We start from the raw sequence: 20,459 nt of genomic DNA, 5'->3' as shown, positions 1-20,459 counted from the left end.
ATACCAATTAACATAGTTTTCAAAGATTATACCTCTTGAAGTAAGAATATACTTCAAGTATATGTACCAGCTTTACCATCTCCTCACCAACTAGTAATGTCATTTTTTATGTTTTTGCCAGTATAATGGGAACTGACTGGCAATGTACTAAGTTCATTGTTGCTTAATTTGTGTGTTGTTTTTTAAAATAACAGTTTAGGCTAAATATTGAATATTTGTTTTACTGATTGCATCTCAGAGTATTATTGATATTAGTACAAAGGTTAACTTGTTGATGAAACATTTGTTTACTTTGAAAAATGAAAGACTTATGGGAGTTGCCCTTGGAGTGTTGAAAGAAAATGGAAGAATTGGATAGGATATTCTGTCAGTTAAGATGTTAGTCTTGAACATGGTGAGGCGTGTTCAACAAAGGGAGCGTTTACAAAGGTGTGGTCATGTTAAGGAAAACTAACAAGGAATGGTGCAGTATTCCAGGGTTGGCAACAATGGTATCACTTCTAGGCCTGAATAGGTCATAGGAGGACGCAAGGTAATGGACTCAGACAGATAGTTGTATGAAAGGGCTGATAGACAGGAGCTGTGGCCTTTGAATGGGAGACAGTTAACGCATGATGACCTAGTAGAGAAGGAAGGAAATGAGTATCCTGGCCTTGATGATTTCCACTCACCCTCTTGTGTCTTGGCATGGCATCCAATTAGTTGAGCCCAACTGCCAGAAGGCAGTTAATGCAATCCACAAAGGTCAGCCACCTGAAGCCCTAAGTGGAATGAAAAAGAAAGGTAAGTGGATCTGGAAAAAAACATGGAAAATATTCAGCACAAATATTCTGGCATTAAGATACTTTAGAGTGGCTGATGATATGAGACTTTACAAATAGATGCAAGATTGTTAATCAGAGGTCTCACTTCATTCAGCTTTTGAATGTTATTGAAAACTATTGAATTTAAATAACTTAACTTTCAAATAGAAACAAAACAGTATGTAATGCCATTATTTGATCCCATTCAGGTATGTGGATAGTAGAATTTATTCCTTGCTTGAAGGAAGTTTTACTACGCCAGAATCTCAGAAGCAAATAAGAAAGTAGCATTTCAAATCTCAGAAGTCAGTAAGAAAGCAAAAGAAGAAGCAAATGGGAGCAGTCAAGGAATGTTAAGAAGGGACGAGATGGCCGGGCGCGGTGGCTCACACCTGTCATCCCAGCACTTTGGGAGGCCAAGGCAGGCAGATCACGAGGTCAAGGGATCAAGACCATCCTGGCCAACATGGTGAACCCTGTCTCTACTAAAAATACAAAAATTAGCCGGGCATGGTGGCACACACCTGTAGTCCTAGCTACTCAAGAGGCTGAGGCAGGAGAATCGCTTGAACCTGGCAGGCAGAGGTTGCAGTGAGCCGAGATCATGCCACTGCACTCCAGCCTGATAACAGAGTGAAACTCCGTCTCAAAAAAATAAAAAAAAAGGTGGTCATATTTCATCACTCTAGTTGAATTACTTTTCCCATCTCTCTATAACTCTCCAGTCTTTGGATATATATATACAAATATTTGTATGTAGTTATAATCACAGCTCACAGCATTTTGATGGTGTAGTTAATACCTTGGGCTTTGGAGACTAAGATGCCTGGGCCTGAATTCCAACTTCATGACTCACTAACTTTGTGACCTTGATTAAACACTTCTATCCCCACCTGGCAGTAATGAGGTACCTCTCCCCCTCTTTGCTGGGATGGTATCAGAGGGGGCCTAGTGAATGGTAAGGACTTTCACCATCACTCAGCAGCAATGGGCCATCTCCACCACTGTGTCTAATGGCCATGTGAGGAGCTAGAATTCCCACCCTGCCCAGCAGCAATAAAGATGCCCTCCATGCTCAACTATTTGTTAGCTAAGTGGGGAACCAGGACTTCTACCCCCACCTAGGAAGAATAAGGCAGCATTCCTCTCTTTCACCTACCAGAACTGTATCAGAAAAAGTCAGTAGAACCAAGTTTAGTTAAGATCCAGTCTCATAATATGAACATATCCAGGACCACTTATCATACCAAGAACCAGAAAGCTCTCAAACTGAATGAAAAAGGCAATTCATAGAACCCAACAATGAGATGACAGTGATGTTAGAATTATCTGACAAATTTTAAGCAGCCATGATAAAAGCAGCAATAGCAATCATGCACACACTTGAAACAAATGAAAAAGTTGAAAACCTCAGCAAAGAAACAGAAAGTCACAGGAAAGAAATAGAAGAAATAGAAGCATACAAAGAAGAACTAAATGAACTGAATAATACAGAATGAAAACAAGAAACTTAGTGAAAAGCAGAATGAAGGAGACAGCAGAATGGAGGAGATAGAAGAAATAATCAGTGAGGTAGAAGAAAGAATAACAGAAATTACTGTTTGAAAAACTGAGAGAAAAATATGCTGGAAGAAAAAGAAACAGTCTCAGAGGCCTGTGGGACTAAAACAAGAGCTTTAACATTTGTGTCATCAGAGCCCCGGAAGGAGATAAGACGAGGACAGAGCTAAAAATGTACTTTAAAAAATAATGGCTGAAAACTTTCTGAATTTGGCAAGAGATATAATCCTACAGATTCAAGAAGCTGAGTGAACCCCAAACAGAATATATCTGAAGAAATTCACACCAACTCACAATTATAATTAAGCTTCTGAAAACTAAAGACAATGAAAAAATCTTGAAGGCTGAGAAAATGGACATTTTACCTAGAGGAGAAAGCAGTTAAAATGACAGCAGATTTCTGGTCAGAAATCAGGAGAACCAGAAGGAAGTGGTACAACATTTTTCAAGTGCTGAAAGAAAAGAACCATCCACCCAGCATCTTGCAAAACTACCTTTCGGGAGTGAAATGAAAATCAAGATATTCTCAGATGAATGAAAATTAAGAGAATTTGTCACCAGCAAACCTACCATAAAAAAATGGCTAAAGAAAGTTTTTTAAATAGAGAGGAAACAACAAAAGAAGGAAACTTGTAATATCAGGAAGGAAAGAAGGAAGAACGCTATAAACAAACATATGGGTAAATATAATAGGCTTTCCTTCTCATCTTGAGTTTTCCAAATTACATTGTATGGTTGAAGCAAAAATAATAACACGGTATAATATGGTTCTAAAATGTATGAATATTTAAGATGATCATATTGTAAATGTGGGAGAGTAAAGAAATCTAGACCAAGCATGGTGGCTCACACCTGTAATCCCAGCACTTTGGGAGGCCAAGGTGGGCAGATCATTTGAGGTCAGGAGTTTGAGACCAGCCTGGCCAACATGGTGAAACCCCGTCTCTACTAATAATACAAAAATTAGCCGGGTGTGGTAGCACATGCCTGTAATCCCAGCTACTTGGGAGGCTGAGGCAGGAGAATCGCTTGAACCTGGGAGGTGGAGGTTGCAGTGAGCCAAGATCGTGCTATTTTACTCCAGCCTGGGTGACAAGAGCAAAACTCCATCTCAAAAAAGAAAAAAAAAAAAGAAATCTAGAGGAAGGTAAAGTTTTTATCCTTTATTTGAACTATTAAAATTATGATACTAGTAGACTATAATAAGTTATATGTATATGATGTAACACTTAGAGCAACCACCATAAAAGCTATATAAAGAGATATACTAAAAATACTATAGATAAATCAAAATAGAATTCTAAAGAATATTCAAGTAAGCCAAAAGAAGGGAGGGGAAAAAACAGAGAGATGAAAAACAGAGAGAAAAAATAAAATGGCAGACATAAACCCTAAAACATCCATAATTACATTAAATGTAAGTTTTCTAAATACACTAATTAAAAGGCAGAGATTGCCAGAGTGAATTAAAAACATGACCCAACTATATGCTGTCTAGAAGAAACTTACTTCGAATAAAATGATATAGGGTGAACCTGAAAGGATGAAAAAAAAATCACGTAAATATTAAATAAAGAAAAGAAGGATTAACTATATTAATATCAAATACAGTACTCTTCAGAAGAAAGAAAATTACCAGAGACAGGGAATATTGATAATAACAAAAGAGTCAATCCACCAAGAAGACATAGCATCCTAAATGTGTATGCAACAAACAACAGAGCTGAAAAATATGTGAAACAAAAACTGATAGAACTGAACAGAGAAATAGACAAATCCACAATTATAGTTGGAGACTTCAATATCTTTATTTCAACAATTGATACAACTACCAGAGAGTAAATCAGCAAGGATGTAAAAGAACTCAACAAGGCTGGGCACGGTGGCTTATGCTGTAATCCCAGCACTTTGGGAGGCTGAGGCGGGTGGATCACGAGGTCAGGAGTTCGAGACCAGCTTGGCCAACATGATGAAACCGTTTCCACTAAAAATACAAAAAATTAGCTGGGTGTGGTAGTGCATGCCTGTAGTCCCAGCTACTCAGAAGGCTGAGGCAGGAGGATCACTTAAACCCAGGAGGCAGAGGTTGCAGTGAGCCAAGATTGTGCCATTGCGCTTCAGCCTGGTGACAGAGTGAGACTCAGTCTCAAAAAAAAAAAAAAAAAAAAATCAACAGTACAATCAACTAACAGAATTTAGTCAACATTTGAAGAACACTTCACCCAAACGCAGCTGAAAATTCATTCCTTTCAAGTGCATGTGGATCATATGCCAATATAGATCATATCCTGGGCCATAAAACAAACCTCAACAATTTAAAATAAGTAAATCATACAGTGTGTTGTCTGAACACAATGGAATAAAATTAAAAACAAATAACAGAAAGGAAAACTTTCTGTTATTTTGGAAATAACATTTCTGTTAAACTTGGAGATGAAAGAGCCCTTCTAAAGAATCCATGGGTCAAAGAGGAAGTCTCAAGGGGAAACAAGAATACATTGAACTACATGAAGATGAAAATACAACATGTCAAAATTTGTGGGACATAGCTAGAGAAATGCTGAGAGGGAAATTTAATGCATACATTAGAAAGAGGAAAAGTCTCAAATACATAATCTAAGCTCCCATGACCAAACTTAAAAAAAGAGGAGCAGAATAAACCCAAAACAAGACAAAGAAATGAACTAGTAAAGATAAGAGCAGAAATTAATAAAAACAAAAACAGAAAGGCAATAGAGAAAATCAATGAAACAAAAAGCTGTTTCTTTAAAGGAATCAATCAGATTGACAAGCCTCTATCAAGACTTACAAAGAAAAAAGAGAGAAGGCACATATTATCAATATCAGGAATAAAATGGCATATCTCTGAAGACCTCAGGGAAGACCCTGAAGGCATCAAAAGGATAATAAGGGAATACTATGAACAACTCTACATATATAAATTTGACAACTGAAGTGAAACGGACTGACACTTTGAAAAAAAACTATAACTCACTCAATATGAAATAGATCATTTAAATAGCCCTATAACTTTAAGGACATTAAATTAGAAATGTTTAAAATTCTCCCCAAAGAAATCTCCAGTCCCAGACGTTTTCATCACAGAATTCCACCAGATGTTTAAAGAAGAATTAATACAAATTCTGTACAATCTCTCCCAGAATATGCAAAAGGAGGAAATATATCTCCATTAATTTTATGAAGTTACTCTTACCATATACCCAAACAAGACAAAACAGTGAAAAAAAAAAAACTACAGAACAATGTCTCCTGTGATAGATACAAAAATCCCTTAAAAACTGGCAAATAGAATTCAGCAACATAAAAATGGTTACACATCATGACCAAATGGGGATTATTCCAGGGATGTAAGCGTGGTTCAATATCCAAAAATCAGTTTAATATATCATATTAACAGACAGAAATAAAAAATCACATGATTATATCAATTGCTGCGGAAACAGTATTTGAGAGCATTTAACATCTTTTAATGGTTAAGAAAACCCCAAAAATATAAATAAAGGGGAACTTTTTCAACACGATAAAGAACATCTACCAAAATAATTCTATTGCAATTATATTTAATGGTGAGAGACTGGATGCTTTCTTCCTAAGACTGGGAATAAGGTAAGGACGTCCACACTCAATATTCTTATTCAACATAGTACTGGAAGTTCTATTCAATTAATAATGCAAGAAATAAAAGGTATATGGATCAGTAAAAGAGAAATAAAATTATTTCTATATGCAGATAATGTGATTGACTATGCAGAAAATTTCAAGGAATCTACAAAAAAAAATCCTAGAAGTAATAAGTTCAACAAGGTCATAGGATGGAAGATGCAAAATAACATGCATTATATTTCTATATACTAGAGATGAACACATGTACACTGAAATTAAAAATAAAATGCCATTTATAATTGCTCAACAAAAGAGAAATATTTAGGTATAAATCTAATATGACACATACAGGACTTTATGGTGAAAACTGTACAACATTGATGAAAGACATCAAAGATCTAAATAAAGACATCGAAGGGCCATATCATGTTCATGGACTGGAGGACAACATAGTGAAAATGTCGGTTATCCCTAAACTGATGTACAGGGTTAACTCAATTTCTATTAAAATCACAGAAGAATTTTGTAGATATAGATAAAAGTATTCTAAATTTTATATGAGAAAGCAAAGGAAGTAGAATAGATTAAAAATTTTGAAAAAGGACGCCGGGCGTGGTGGCTCACGCCTGTAATCCCAGCACTTTGGGAGGCTGAGGTGGGCAGATCACCAGGTCAGGAGATCGAGACCGTCCTGGCTAACATGGTGAAACCCCGTCTCTACTAAAAAATACAAAAAAATTAGCCGGGCGTGGTGGCACGCGCCTGTAGTCCCAGCTACTCAGGAGGCTGAGGCAGGAGAATGGCGTGAATCCAGGAGGCGGAGCTTGCAGTGAGCGGAGATGGCGCTACTGCACTCCAGCCTGAGTGACAGAGTGAGACTCCGTCTCAAAAAAAAAAAAAATTTTTTTTGAAAAAGGAAAATTAAGTAGTAGAAATTGGTCTACTGGATTTCAAGATGTATTATATAATGATAATAATCAAAAGAACTCAAAAATAAACTTACACAAATATGCCCAACTGATTTTTGACAAGATGCAAAAGCAGTTCAGTGATGGTACATATGTTTCAATAAATAGTGCTGTAGCAATAGGACATCTGTAAGCAAACAAAACAAAACAAAAACCTCAAACTAAGTTGTACGTATTATACAAAAATTAACTAAAAATTGGGTTATAGACCTAAATATAAAATTATGAAACTTTTAGAAAGAAACAGGAAAAAATCTTCAGGACCTGGGGTTAGGCAGAGAGTTCTTAGTCTTGACAACAAAAGCTTATCCATAAAAGTAAAAATTAATAAATTGGATTTCATCAAAATTAAAAATTTTTGCTGGGCATGGTGGCTCACCCCTATAATCCCAACACTTTGGGAGGCTGAGGCCAGCAGATCACTTGAGCTCAGGAGTTTGAGACCAGCCTGGGCAACATGGTAAAACTCTGTCTCTACATAAAGACAAAAAATTATCTGGGCGTGGTGGTGCACGCCAGTAGTTCCAGATACTCTGGAGGCTGAGTGAACTAAGGTCCTGCCACTGCACTCCAGCCTGGGTGACAGAGTGAGACCCTGTCTCAAAAAATATATGTACAATAATAATAATATAAAAATTTTTGTTCTGCAAAAGGCCCTGTTAAGAGGACAAAAAGACAAATTATGGAGTGGGAGAAAAAAATATTTGCAAACCACATATCTGACAAAGACTAGTATCTAGAATATATAAAGAACTCTTGAAACTCAATAGTAAAACCCCCAAAAATCCAATTATAAAATGAGTACAGGACATGAAGGGACATTTCGCCAAAGAAGACATACAAATGGAAAATAAGACCTGAAAAGATGTTCAACACCGTTAGCCATTAGAGAAATGCAAATTAAAAGTCACAATGGGATATTACTACACACCTATCAGAACAGCTAAAATTAAAAATAGTATCATCATCACCAAATGCTGTGAGGAGAAATGCAGCGAAACTGGATCCCACTGGTGGGAATGTCAAGTGATACAGTCATTCTGCAAAAATGTTTGGCAATTTCTGATAAAACGCAACATGCAACTGCCATACAACCCAGCAGTTCTACTCCTGGGCATTTATTATCCCAGAGAAATCAAGACTTATGTTCCCACAAAAACCTGCACATGAATATTTATAGCAGCTGTGTTTTATGTAAATGCAACTTCAAGTCTCAAGCCTCTTTTTAATCCAATTGAAACCTTCTATATAGAGATTCTGGAGCCATCACTTCCACCTTTGTGAACTGAAAGAGAAAAAAAAATGTGAACATAAAATCAAGTACTTGATTTGAAGACTGATACTAAGGCCTCCAGGGAAAAGGGGAAAGTTACACACTATATACACTATGTAAACAAGGAATTACCGTGCTGCTTTTGTAATAATTAATCTGAACCTAGGCATTACTGGGCATAATTCAGATTCCTGCAAAAATAAAGTGTTTTAAAGTTTAGTGAATATTTATTGAACATCCACTATGTGCAAGCTATGAAATTTCCACATGAAATTAACCTCTGTACCTAACAGTTATCTACATTTTGCAGATGATAAAAATGAAGTTCAGAGAGGTTTAGATTCTGCTCTGTGTCAGGCACTCTGGTGTTTATCATGATCAGATTTCATTCTCACAGTTGGCCCTGGTCAAGTTTCCTACCTCCTGGTTTCTCAAGTTACTGGTCATCGTTGAGAAGAGCATACAGGGGTACTCTGAGATTGGACCCCAAAATTAGGGCAATGAATCTCTGAAGAGCTCTACATTAAAATGTGCAAAGAAAGGACATCTTGAAATATTAATCTTTGTGCTGTTCTTTTCTTCCCTTGCATTCTGGTTCCTTCCTTTAGTGAGCTTGTTTTAGTAGGAATACAAAGAGAAAAAAATGTAAATATGGAGCTGTTTTAAAAACTTCCAAACCAGGTGTCTTAGTCTGTTTTGCGTTGCTGTAAAATAATACCTGGGCTGCGTGCGGTGGCTCACGCCTGTAATCCCAGCACTTTGGGAGGCCAAGGCGGGCAGATCATGAGGTCAGGAGATCAAGACCATCCCGGCTAACACAGTGAAACCCTGTCTCTACTAAAAATACAAAAAATTAGCTGGGTGTGGTGGCGGGTGCCTGCAGTCCCAGCTACTCAGGAGGCTGAGGCAGGAGAATGGCGTGAACCTGGGCGGTGGAGGTTGCAGTGAGCTGAGATCACGCCACTGCACTCCAGCCTGGGCGACAGAGCAAGACTCCATCTCAAAAAATCATAATCATAATCATAATCATAATCATACCTGAGGGTGGGTAATTTATAAAGAAAAGTTTATTTGGCTCACAGTTCTGCAGGCTGTACAAGAAGCATGACATCAGTGTCTGCTTCTGGTGAGTACCTCAGGAAGCTTCCATTCATGGCAGAAGGCAAAGAGGAACTGGCATGTTGCATGGTGAGAGAAAGGGAGCAATAGGGAGAGTGGAGGGCAGTGCCAGGCTCTTTTAAGCAATCAGATCTTGTAGGAACTCATAGAGCAAGAACTCCCTCATTACCATGAAGAGGGTACCAAGCCATTCGGAAGGGATTTGCCCCCCAGAACCCAAACCTCCCTCTATGCCCCACCTCCAACATTGGGGATCAACATCACATAAGATTTGGAGGGGACAAATATCCAAACTATATCACCAGGTTCTTGCAAATCAGAAGACAGGGCTTTAAGGGTCATGGGGCACAGAGTTTATGCCATGCAAAGAAAGGAAAGTAATGAGAGAGGGATGCCATCTTGCCTGTCCTCTGTACTCCAGGGAGCATACTCAGGAGTCTCCTGTACTGGAGGGGAGGGAGCTAGGGGGAGCTTCCTATGAGGAGACCCCACCATCTGGCACCAGCTGAGTGAGAACACCATTTGCTGCCAGGCATAGGAGCCACGTGGCAGTCCTTCTCTGTCCATCAACCACAGCAGACACCGTCCCATGCCCAGTGACTACTGAGCTCCAGTCACACCACACTGTACAGACTCCTCAACCCCCAGCAAGAGCCTAGGGCACGTTTAATCCCCTCTACAGCAAAGGGGTCCTTGGCCCCCAGAGGGGCAGGGATGGTGAAGGGAAGAGCCAGCAGAGGAACTTGGGTGGGGCTGGACTGTGGGGAAACCCTTCCTGGTTACAGGGGTAGGAGGTTCCTCACAGTGGGCAGAGTGCATCTCTGTAGATGATGATTAACTGACTTGAAGCAGCCTGAGGCCCTGGAAGATGAAGATGAGGGGAAATGAGTTATTTTCTCTCACTGGGCTCCAGGATTCCAAAGCTCTCTCAATTGAGTAGGCAGGTTCATGCCCTGTCCAACCAAGCTCAGGGGGGACTAGTAAGGGGAGAATGTCTGTCACCTGGAGAAGCCAGTTACAACATGGCAAGTGACTAGCATGACTCCTGGGCAGCAGCCTTGTATGGCAAGATCTGTGGGTTTGCATTCCTGAGGAGTCCCAAGGAGCCTGAGAAGATCCAGGGAAAAGCCAGCCTCCTGGAGTCTGTGGTGCAAGGACTGTGTCTTTTGGGCACCAAAAGGAAGGTTGACCTCTGAGTGTGGGGAAGTGAGGGACATCTGGCTGACAAGAGAACTTGATTGTGTCCATTTTCTCACCTTGCTCTGATCTGAATGCAACAATTTTTTTCATGTTATTTTTCTAGAGTTCAGTTAAAACAGTAGTTGCACAGGTGAGGAAGGGAGTGTGTGTGTGTGTGTGTGTGTGTGTGTATAACCAGTGCTGAAGTATTAATTCACATGTATATTTCTAAAACTAGTAGAGGCACAGTGGGGCCTCCCTAGGACCAAGATCTGAGAAAATAACTCCAGTCTAGGAATGAGAACACATGCTCCCACTTTCAGCTAAACCCCCACTTCTTTGCCTTTAAAATGGAGAGCTTGGATCGAATGATTGAAAAACATTATAATCCTAGGATGTGTAGTTTTCCTTAGATCCTCACAAGTGTTTAAGTCAAACCATTCCTAATACTAGGTTTCTCTTCCTTAAGGTCAGTTGGCTATATGTGCGTGTGCAGTGTGTATCTGTTGTACCCATAGTATATATGACATACATGTAATGTACTGTGCAGTGTGTGAATGTGTTGTGTGTATACTATGTGTCTGCATGGTGTGTCATACACTATTTGTTCTTGCTGTCCCAAGCAACCCCTCATATTGCCCAATCAATGCTAGATTTCTGGATCCTTCAGAAATCCTCTCTCTCATACCCAGGCAAATAAGCAAGAACACATATGTGAAGACTTTTGCACTCCAGTGACTCTTGAGCTGCAGCCAAATAGCTGGAATTACATGCTTTGTAGAGAACCAGGGATGTGGCATGGCAATGGGAAATTCAGCATGTATTTGAAAGCCAGATTCCTTTTTCCAGAACCCAAAAGAGCAAGAGAGGTAGAGGCTAGCCTGTCTGTTGCTGGCAGCCTGGGGTGTGTGTGTGTGTGTCTAGTGGGCACCATTTATTAAAATCTCTGTTGTCTCTAACATGCCCCCATTCACATGCACATTTGCATTTCAGACTCCAATTTTCAAGCCAGCATTTCTTTCCTCTGCATCTCTTCCTCTGATTCTGTTGCTCTTCATTCGTCTCCTCAGCCCCTTTGCTTTCTCATTTTCCTTGGAATAGTGAGTCAAGCTCCTTCTGAACAGTAGTTTAGGGTTCTTAATCCACTGCATGGACGAGGCCCCCAGATTAAAGCAGGGGAGATTAGAATGCTGTGCAGTTGCTGGAATGCTGGGCCTCAAAGTCTTTTGACTACTTTCACCTTCCTGGTTATGGGAGGAGGGCTTCCCCTTGATTCTGGGGAAATACAGAGATGCCAGTGTCCAGCTTGCCATTCCACATCTGTTCCAGTCATGTTCTGTCCAAGTCCAAACTAAGTAGTTTAAAGTGATAATCATTTATTTGTTCATGAATCTGCAATTTGGTCAGGGCTAAAAGGGATAGCTCATCCCTTCTTCCACGTGGAACTTACTGGGGTGGCTTAAAGGCTGGAGTGGCTTGAAGGTGACTCAATAGCTGGTGCTGGAGTCATCTGAAGTTCATTCACTCACACATCTGGTGTTTGATGCTGGCTGTTGGCTGGGACCTTAATGGGGACTGTCAGCTGGAGCACCTACATGTGGCTTTTCTATGTTCTGGACTGGTGTTCTCACAGCAGGGTGGCAGGGTTCCAAGAGTGAGTGTTTCAAGAGACAAAATGGAAGTGCATATTATTTTTATGACTTAGTCTCAGAAGTCATTTAGTGTCACTTCTGCTTTTCTATTGGCCAAGGCAGTTACAAAGTTCTGTCCAAGTCTAAGAGGGGGTAACACAGACCCACCACTCAATGCGAGGAGGGTTCAGTGTCACATAGGAGGAACAGCATGTATCGTGTGTGTCTCTGTGTGTGTAGTGTGCAATGCACTATCTTGTACCAATGTAGTATACATGTATGGAGTATGGTGAACACACACTACATTGAAAATTCAGTCTGCCACATCTCTTTCCATATTCACTGTTCCTTTCTCTACCTCTTATAGTCCTGCTGGTTTAAATTTATTGACAGAGATGGGATTCGCAGTAAGGACTGTCATCCCATGGGTGCCAAAGCTTACACTTGGCTTGAATCACATGGTAGGCAGGATGGCCCCAAGATTCCTACCTGGTATAGACACCCTGTGTAATCCCCTCCTCTTGAATGTCAGGGACCTGTGAGTATGATGGAATTTTACTGGAGTGATTAGGTTACATGATCTGGCACAGGTGTGGGAATTTTGCTGATGTAATTAATGTCTCTCCTGTTACTTTGGGTCAAACAAAAGGGAGATTACCCTGGGCAGGCTTGACATAATCAGGCAAGTCCTTTAAAGGAGGGTTCAGGCCTTCCCCAAAGAGAAGATTCTCCTGCTGACTTTGAGGGAGTGAGCTGCTGTGTAGTAAGAGGGCCCCACAGCTAAGATATGAGGGTAGCCTCAAGTTGCTGAGAGCAACCCCTGGCCAACAGCCAGCAAGAAATTAAGGAGCACCATCCTACAACTGTAAGGAAATAAATTCTGTCAACAACCTGAATGGACTTGGAGAACTCCAGGTGAGAATACACCTGGCTGACGTCTAGATTTCAACTGTGTGAAACCCTGAGCAGAGAACCCAGCTACTCCGTGTCTAGGTTCCTGACCCCCAGAAGCTATGAGATAATGAATGTGTGTGTTTTGAGCTACCAAGTTTGTGGTAATGTGTTACATAGCAAAAGAAAACTACCATAAGTCAAAACCATGAGCTCCATTGGCAAGCAAGCTTTATTGGATGGGTAATTGGAGAAACACATGGCAGATCCAGTAGCAAGACTACACACATGCTGAAGGACCCAGCTCAAATGTCACCCCACTGCCATCTTCATGGATTCCCTTCTGCTAGAAGTAATCTCTTGCATCTGAAATCCTATAGCGTTGTTTGTCCCTGTTTTGTGATACTTCTCGTATTCTACTTATATTTATCAGCGTTCACGTCTTGTCTGATTGTAAGGTCCTCCCAGTGGAAACAGTGTCCCATTTATTTTTGTGGTGCCAAGGTACTTTGCATAATTCTTTGCATATCAACAAGATGTATTGATAATTTATTAAATGTTTTTTTGAACGACAGGACTTCAACTTTTATTTATTGAGGAAGTTTGAGAACACATTTTGCTATGATGATAATCAAGAGATGGTCATCACTATTGTTTTAAAGGTGTTAGTTGAAAACATCAAAACCAGCCAAACATTCTGTCCTCATTTGCAGTCAGTGAGAATGTTTCTGTCATTTGAGATTCTGAAATTAAGCCTACAAATGTTCATCCAATAGATTCTGGTTCCCAGGCACTGAAACTCTCTGCCAAGGGAGAATCACAGATCTGTCTGAGTAATCTTTATTTTTATCCTGAAAATGGAGAAAAGAATTTCCTGCACCAATAGGGACAAGCTGCTATTTAGCTATTACCTCTAGAATTAGGGACACTGTGCTAATGGGAGGTAGGAATAACATTTCTTCTTGGAGCACTAAATACAAGTCTATTTAGAGAAATGAGTAGCCTTTAGCTCCTCTTTTGAATTCCATTTTGAGACATTGAGCATAGAGGAAGCAGAAAGGTCAGAGAATAGAAAATAGCCATGCTTTTAGGATGGCAAATCTTTTGTATCAAAAGAATCCTGGTTGCTTTGGGCCTAGGAGGCAAGCCCTTGGGAGGCTCTTTCAGAGGCCCCTGGCACCTTGCCTTAGGGAACCCCATGTGGAGTTGTGCCTGAGGAACTGCACCCCACAGGAAACTGTTTTTGGCAAGTTTGAGTATTAATAACAAGAAGCATTACCATTAACAATCATCCTTGTAGCTCTTCTAAAACTATAACTGTAGTGCCACGAAGGATTCTTTTTGGCCAATTATTAGTCATGTCCGTGTTTATGTGCTTTAGGGGAGTGCCAGCTGATTACTCTGGGCTCAAGAACACCTTTTGAGGACTTATGGATCTGGGCCTCATAAAAACAGTGAGTAGAACACTGCATTTATATATCTCCTAGGAATTTGCAAAGAGTTTCATATACATCGTCTCACTGTACATGGGGGTGGGCAAAAGCCATCCTCTTCTAACTTAGGCTAATGTGGGTAGTGAAGTTCAGGGTCCGTGATTGTTAAGGCCTCAAATGGCATCTACTTTGTAAGGAAATTTAGAGTGAGTGTCCTCTTCTGGTTGCCAGATCTCACAAGGCTCCAGACATCTGGAGCCGACAGATCAGGTCACTACTAGTTAGCATCAAGATGGTGTTAAAGCCCTGAGTCAAAATTAATCACAGCAGCTATTCTGTAGTTCACCCTATGGTTATCCCCAGGGTCATTAATGAAACTGGATGTGACAGGTCCAGATTTTACATTTCATGTAGAGAACCAGTAAGCACTTATGAAATCTACCAGGAATTATTTCCCAATAATCCTGGCATGGAATCTGTGGCCTATTTGTTGTTTAGGCTCTACACAGTCCTTGGAATTCACTGGGTAGTTATCCTTATAAATAGCTTGCAAGCACAATGTCTTAGGGAAAAAACCTGCAGTGTGATGTACATTTGAAAGTAGGTGGCACAGAAGGAAGCTAGGAAGAGAGCTGGTGTATACCACTCTCTCCTCTGTTGTAAGGGAGGTGGGGGTGGGTGGAACGAAGAGGAGGGGGAATATTTGGGATCTAAGGAATGAGAAGGTTAGGATAAGTGGCCTAAGTTCATCCACTTCTTGCCTTCGCTTCACTGGGAGAGGTTTTTAAAAACTCAGATTTCGACCCAGTTCTAATGGATCACAGTGTCTAGGGGTGGGGCCCAGAGATCTGCATTTCAAGCATCCAAGTAACTTTGGTGCATCTGAGGGATCACTGCTTTGGGCCCCTAGAGACCCAAGGCACCCATGTCTCAGGGAATCCCACACTGAATTGTGCCTGAGGACCTGAGGACCTGCACGCTGGAGGAATCTGTTTTTAGCAAGCTTGATTATTAATAATGAAGCTTGAAAACCACTGATCTAACTAATGACAGACTGCAAGCAACAATGTAGAGATCCCTGGACTAAGAGTTAGGGTCCTGTGTTCAAGTTCTGCCACAAGCTTCCTGCGTGACTTTGTACAAGTCACTTTGCCTCTCTGGCTCTTAGTTTCCTCATCCGTAAAATTGGGGCAGGGTGAACAAAATAAGTGCAAACATTCCATCCTGCACTCACACTCTGGTTGGAAGACTATCTCTGACACAAATGCCTGGAGCCACGCAGGGACCCTGTGGCGATCCCTGTGCAGATGCTGGGAGGATGGGCGAGGGGACCCAGAGAAATGCATGAGGAAGAGTGTCAGGCGAGTGGCCTCACCATCAAGGTGGCTCTTGATTTTGTGGGGCCTGAAGTTCATGTAATTTGCGGGGCCCTCTTTAATAAAAATAATGCAAAACTACCATCAAAAATTAAATGTAAGGCCGGGTACAGTGACTTATGTCTGTAATGCCAGCACTTTGGGAGGTTGAGGTAGGCAGGTCACTTGAGGCCAGGAGTTCGAGACCAGCCTGGACAACATGGTGAAACCTCTTCTCTACTAAAAATACAAAAATTAGCCGGGTTTCCTGGCATGCACCTGTAGTCCCAGCTGCTTGGGAGGCTGAGGCATGAGAATCTCTTGAACCTGGGAGGTGGAGGTTGCAGTGAGCTGAGATCATACCACTACACTCCAGCCTGGGTGACAGAGCAAGACTCCGTCTCCCCCACCCCCAAAAATTTAAATACAAAACTGGATGTTTGTTTAGAATAATGCAAGAAATAACAATAAACTACATACTTGATGAAAAGTGTCATCAATACAGAATCCAGAAAAATAACAGTATTCTAATGAATTTGTTGCCCAAAACACCTTGATAATACTTTTTCCCTGTAGTTTTGGGCAGCATGCACTTTTTCTCTTCATGTGACAACAATTTTGTAATTATCATTTTCTTTGGAGAGAATAGAATGATAACTCAGTCTTTGCTCTAATGTGTCTGAAATTTGTTTTTCTAAGCTATTGATAGTTATTAAGAGTTGTTTCAGCTTCAGAACTCATTATTGGTAATATCCTGTACATTTTAAGGATTGTCATCAAATCTAGGAAAACCTTAATCAAGCTTCTTTTGTATCTGAGTTGTAAGAGTTGGAAGAATTTTTCCATATACTAGCTTTTGCCTTTGTCCATTTTAATCCTTGTTTTTTCTCCATTACCTGCATAGTTCTAGTGTTGGCTGCCACAGGCCACATTCATACACAACACCAGTGTGCCTCCATGTCAGGACACTGGTGAGTTGGCAGAGTGGGTTGTCAGAGCCATTTCTATAGCAGGGTGGCTAGCCATTACCGACCTGTACATGGAAGTGATGCAAACACCCCTGTAACCCGACACCAGATGTATCCCTGACTCCACTTCTCCTTAACCAGATCCCTGAGATGCCCACGATCACTCCAGGACTGCCTGACCTGAGGGGAAGCATGATGGAAGGGGAAGGAAAGTGGAAAGAAGGGGTGGTCTTTAACCTATTGCTGTAACATGAATATATTTTTTCTATATGTATATTTTATATGTCAATTTTCATATAATTTGTATTGCAGGAGGAATGAATATTGTGTGTACTATATATATATACAGCTATGGATTGAATTGTGTCCCCCCACCCTAGCCCCCCAGTTTGGTGGTATTTGGAGATGGGACCTTTGGGAGGTAATCAGTGTTAGATGAGGTCAAGAGCGTGGTGCTCTCACAGTGGGGTTAGTAGCTTTATCAGAAAAGGATGAGAGATGCTCTCTCTCCACTATGTGAGGACACAGTGATAAGGTGGCCATCTGCAAGCCAGGAAAAGAGGCCTTACCAGAAACTGAATCTGCCCGACCTTTCATCTTGGACTTCTCAGCCTCCAGAACTGTGAGAAATAAGTCTGTTGTTTGACCCACTCAGTCTACGGTACTTTTTTATGGCAGCCCAAGCTGACTAAGACATTATATATACTATTAATAGATCTATATTGTCATGTGAACCCATTGCTAGGGCCCTTCCAGGGCCATAGAGGAGCCAGGGCAAGGAGGACCCAGGTTCTTAAGCTTCATTGGCATCACAGTAACCTGCCTGTTTCTGACGCTGGGACAGAGACTGGGGTTGACTATGGGGATCACAGGGCTGAGATCCTTTCCCTGAGGCTGCTGTGTGGTTTGAGACACTTGGGCAGACACCTCTAGGGTGAAGTACTGTGACCATGGCAGCAGCCTGGGGTGTGGGGTTAACTTGTATTTCTTCCCTCTCCTCTCATCCCTCATTTAGAATTCAGGAAGGCTAGGGCCACACCTGTCCAGGTAACTGAGCTGAAATCTCATTAGTTATTCTCACCATCCCCAACCCCCATGGCCCCCTATGAAAGGGTAAGGTTTTAACTGTTCAGAGGAAGGGGAAGGGAAATCCTAAAACAAATGTCATGAAAAGAGGCTGAGAAACGGCAACACTTCCTTGGTACCTGCTTAAAGAGAGCACAAGGCAAAGCTGGACTGTCAGCAGAGGGTCCCATAGGGAGTATGCCTGACTAGGTTGTGTTAGGAGCAGAGGCAGCAGGAAGCTCCAGCAAAGACATGAGAAGGAACCCTGCTGGGGCTTCGGAGCGGGAGATTGGGCAGTGAAGGGTCCTGAATGGGTGATTGACTTCAAGAGACCAGAAGATAACTGGAGACCTTTCAGAATCCCCAAACATGTGAATACTCAAGAACATGCAGACTCAAGGTCAGTGGAAAACAATAAAGCCCCCTTGTTGATATAGCAGCTGCAGTTGGCCAGGTTCACTTACCAGCTAAGTGACATTCTGGAGCACCAAGCTTCCAGAGGGAAATATTTACAAGTCAGCCTCCTTCAAAAGGACATCCATGTCACGAGCATTCTGAGTCATGAAGGACTAGTTCATGAAGGTTAAATTAGCAAATACCATGAGCCTACCTAAAAAAAAAAAAAACAGTTTTGTGACCACCAGAAGCTGGAAGAGGGGGTGTGGCCCTGCTGACACCTTGACTTCAGACTTCTGGCCTTCAGAACTGTGAGAGAACACATTTGTGTTGTTTTAAGTCACCAGAGTTGTGGTAATTTGTTATAGCAGACCTAGGAAACCCACACAGACACCTAATAACTGCACAACACTTGGCTCGCCAGGAACAATACAGCCAGGTTACTTCCCATGTTATGGAGTCATAATAACACCAACCCTGAGGACTGATATAGCCAAATATAATCATATTAAGAGGATGGGAGACGGGAAGCAAGAAGAACATATGTATGCATTAAGAGAAGTAAATCCTTACCCCTAAGGGAAGTAGATGGAAAAAAAAATAAAAAATAAAATACAATCCCCTGTTTTGCAATTGCAACAGAATCATGCAACATGTCCTCTGTATTCATTTCCTATCAAGGTGTTACAAAGACCACATAGGTAGTGGCTTACCACTTGCCCAAGCTGGAGTGCCGTAGCGCGAACATGGCTCACTGCAGCCTCGACCTCCTGGGCTCAAGCAATCCTCCCACCTCAGGCTCCTTAGTAGCTGGGACTACAGTAACATGCCACCATGCCTGGCTAATTTTTGTATTTTTTGTGTATACAGGGTTTCACCATGTTTCTCAGGCTGGTCTCCTGGACTCAGCAATCCCCCTGCCTCGGCCTCCCAAAGTGCTGGGATTACAGGCATGAGCCACTGCACCCAGCTCCAACACACATTCCTTATCTCACATTTTCTATGGGTCAAGAGTCAGTGCACAGTTTAGCTAAATTCTCTGCTCAGGATCTTTTAAGGCAGCAATCAAGGTGGTGGCTGGGCTGTGTTCTGTTGAGTTGCTTGGGGAAGAACCTGCTTCCAAGCTTGTTCAGGTTGTCGGCAGAATTCACCTCCTTGTGGTTGTATGACTCGGGTCCCGGTTTCTTGCTGACTAGGCCAAAGGCCACCTTCAACTCTTAAAGGACAGCTGTAGTTCCTGGCCACATGGCTCTCTCACAGGCTCTCTCTCAACATGACAGCTTACTGCATGTCAGTAAGGGAGATTCTTTCTCTCTAGTTTACAGAGCCTTATATAAAGTAGCATAATCACGCTCCCATCACTTGTGACATGTAACATCGCTTAATCAAGGAAGTGACATCCCATCACCTTTGCCATATTTTATTTGTTAGAAACAAGTCACAGGCTCTGCCTGTAATCAAAGGGACTGGATGCTATAAGGGTGTGTTTTGTCGGCAGTCACTGTAGGATGTGTCTGCCACATTCTACTGTGTGACTTCTTCCTTTTCATTGTTGTGCAATATTCCTCTGCACGTGACTAAACCACAGTTTATCTGTTCTACTCCTGATAGATATTTGGGGTGTTTTTAGTGTTTAGTTATTAAGAATAATGCTATTTTAAGTAGTCTTGTACATGTCTCTAAATGAATATATGCATTCATGTCTCTGGAGTATATAATTAGGCATGCCCAGTTTTTTTTTTCTTTCTGTAATTTAATTCATTCAATACTTATTTACAATAAACTCTCCTTGCTGTAATTTAAAAAGTCACAACTGGGGATGGGGCTGGAGGGTAAAAGAAGGGTTGACTTTTGATGCAACAATTGTGATTTACATCCTCCTGCTCCACTCCCTGCCGCTAAGGTGGTGCTGATTGGATCTCTATTCTGTGAAAGCTTTGCTGATGATTTCTCTCCCTTCCACCTTTTCTTCTGGCAACCAGTTAAACATAAACTAGTGCCCGCCCACCCTAAACTTAAGAGAGTGCATCATGGTTGCTAGCCTGTTTTTAGGGGATATAGGTTTCCAGCTCTCAGGGACAGCCTTTTCTGTGTTTTTCTCAGCACCTGGCTTTAGTCTGCACATGTCTGAGAGTCTTGGCCACCAGAGGACCCCTACAGATGCACAGTGAGACCTCGAAGTGCTGGAGCCTAA

General features: G+C 41.4%; 1 long non-coding RNA gene across 2 annotated transcripts in view; it reads left to right on the top strand.

Annotated features, from left to right (window-relative positions):
- The window catches only part of LGALSL-DT (LGALSL divergent transcript), a 63,923-nt gene that overhangs the window by 20,149 nt on the left and 23,315 nt on the right, over window positions 1-20,459 (top strand). The window contains exon 1 of one of the 2 annotated variants that reach the window (XR_001739494.3): window positions 9,331-14,502. The exons of the other annotated variant lie outside the window; for it this stretch is intronic. This is a non-coding gene — a long non-coding RNA (LGALSL divergent transcript). Of the gene's footprint in view, window positions 1-9,330; window positions 14,503-20,459 lie in introns of those variants that run through there. 2 annotated transcript variants of the gene reach the window in all.

Source organism: Homo sapiens, chromosome 2 (genome assembly GCF_000001405.40).
Source record: "Homo sapiens chromosome 2, GRCh38.p14 Primary Assembly".
NCBI lineage: Eukaryota > Metazoa > Chordata > Mammalia > Primates > Hominidae > Homo > Homo sapiens.
The sequence above is the reverse complement of the archived record's forward strand: the minus strand, read 5'-3'. Positions and strand labels throughout refer to the sequence as shown.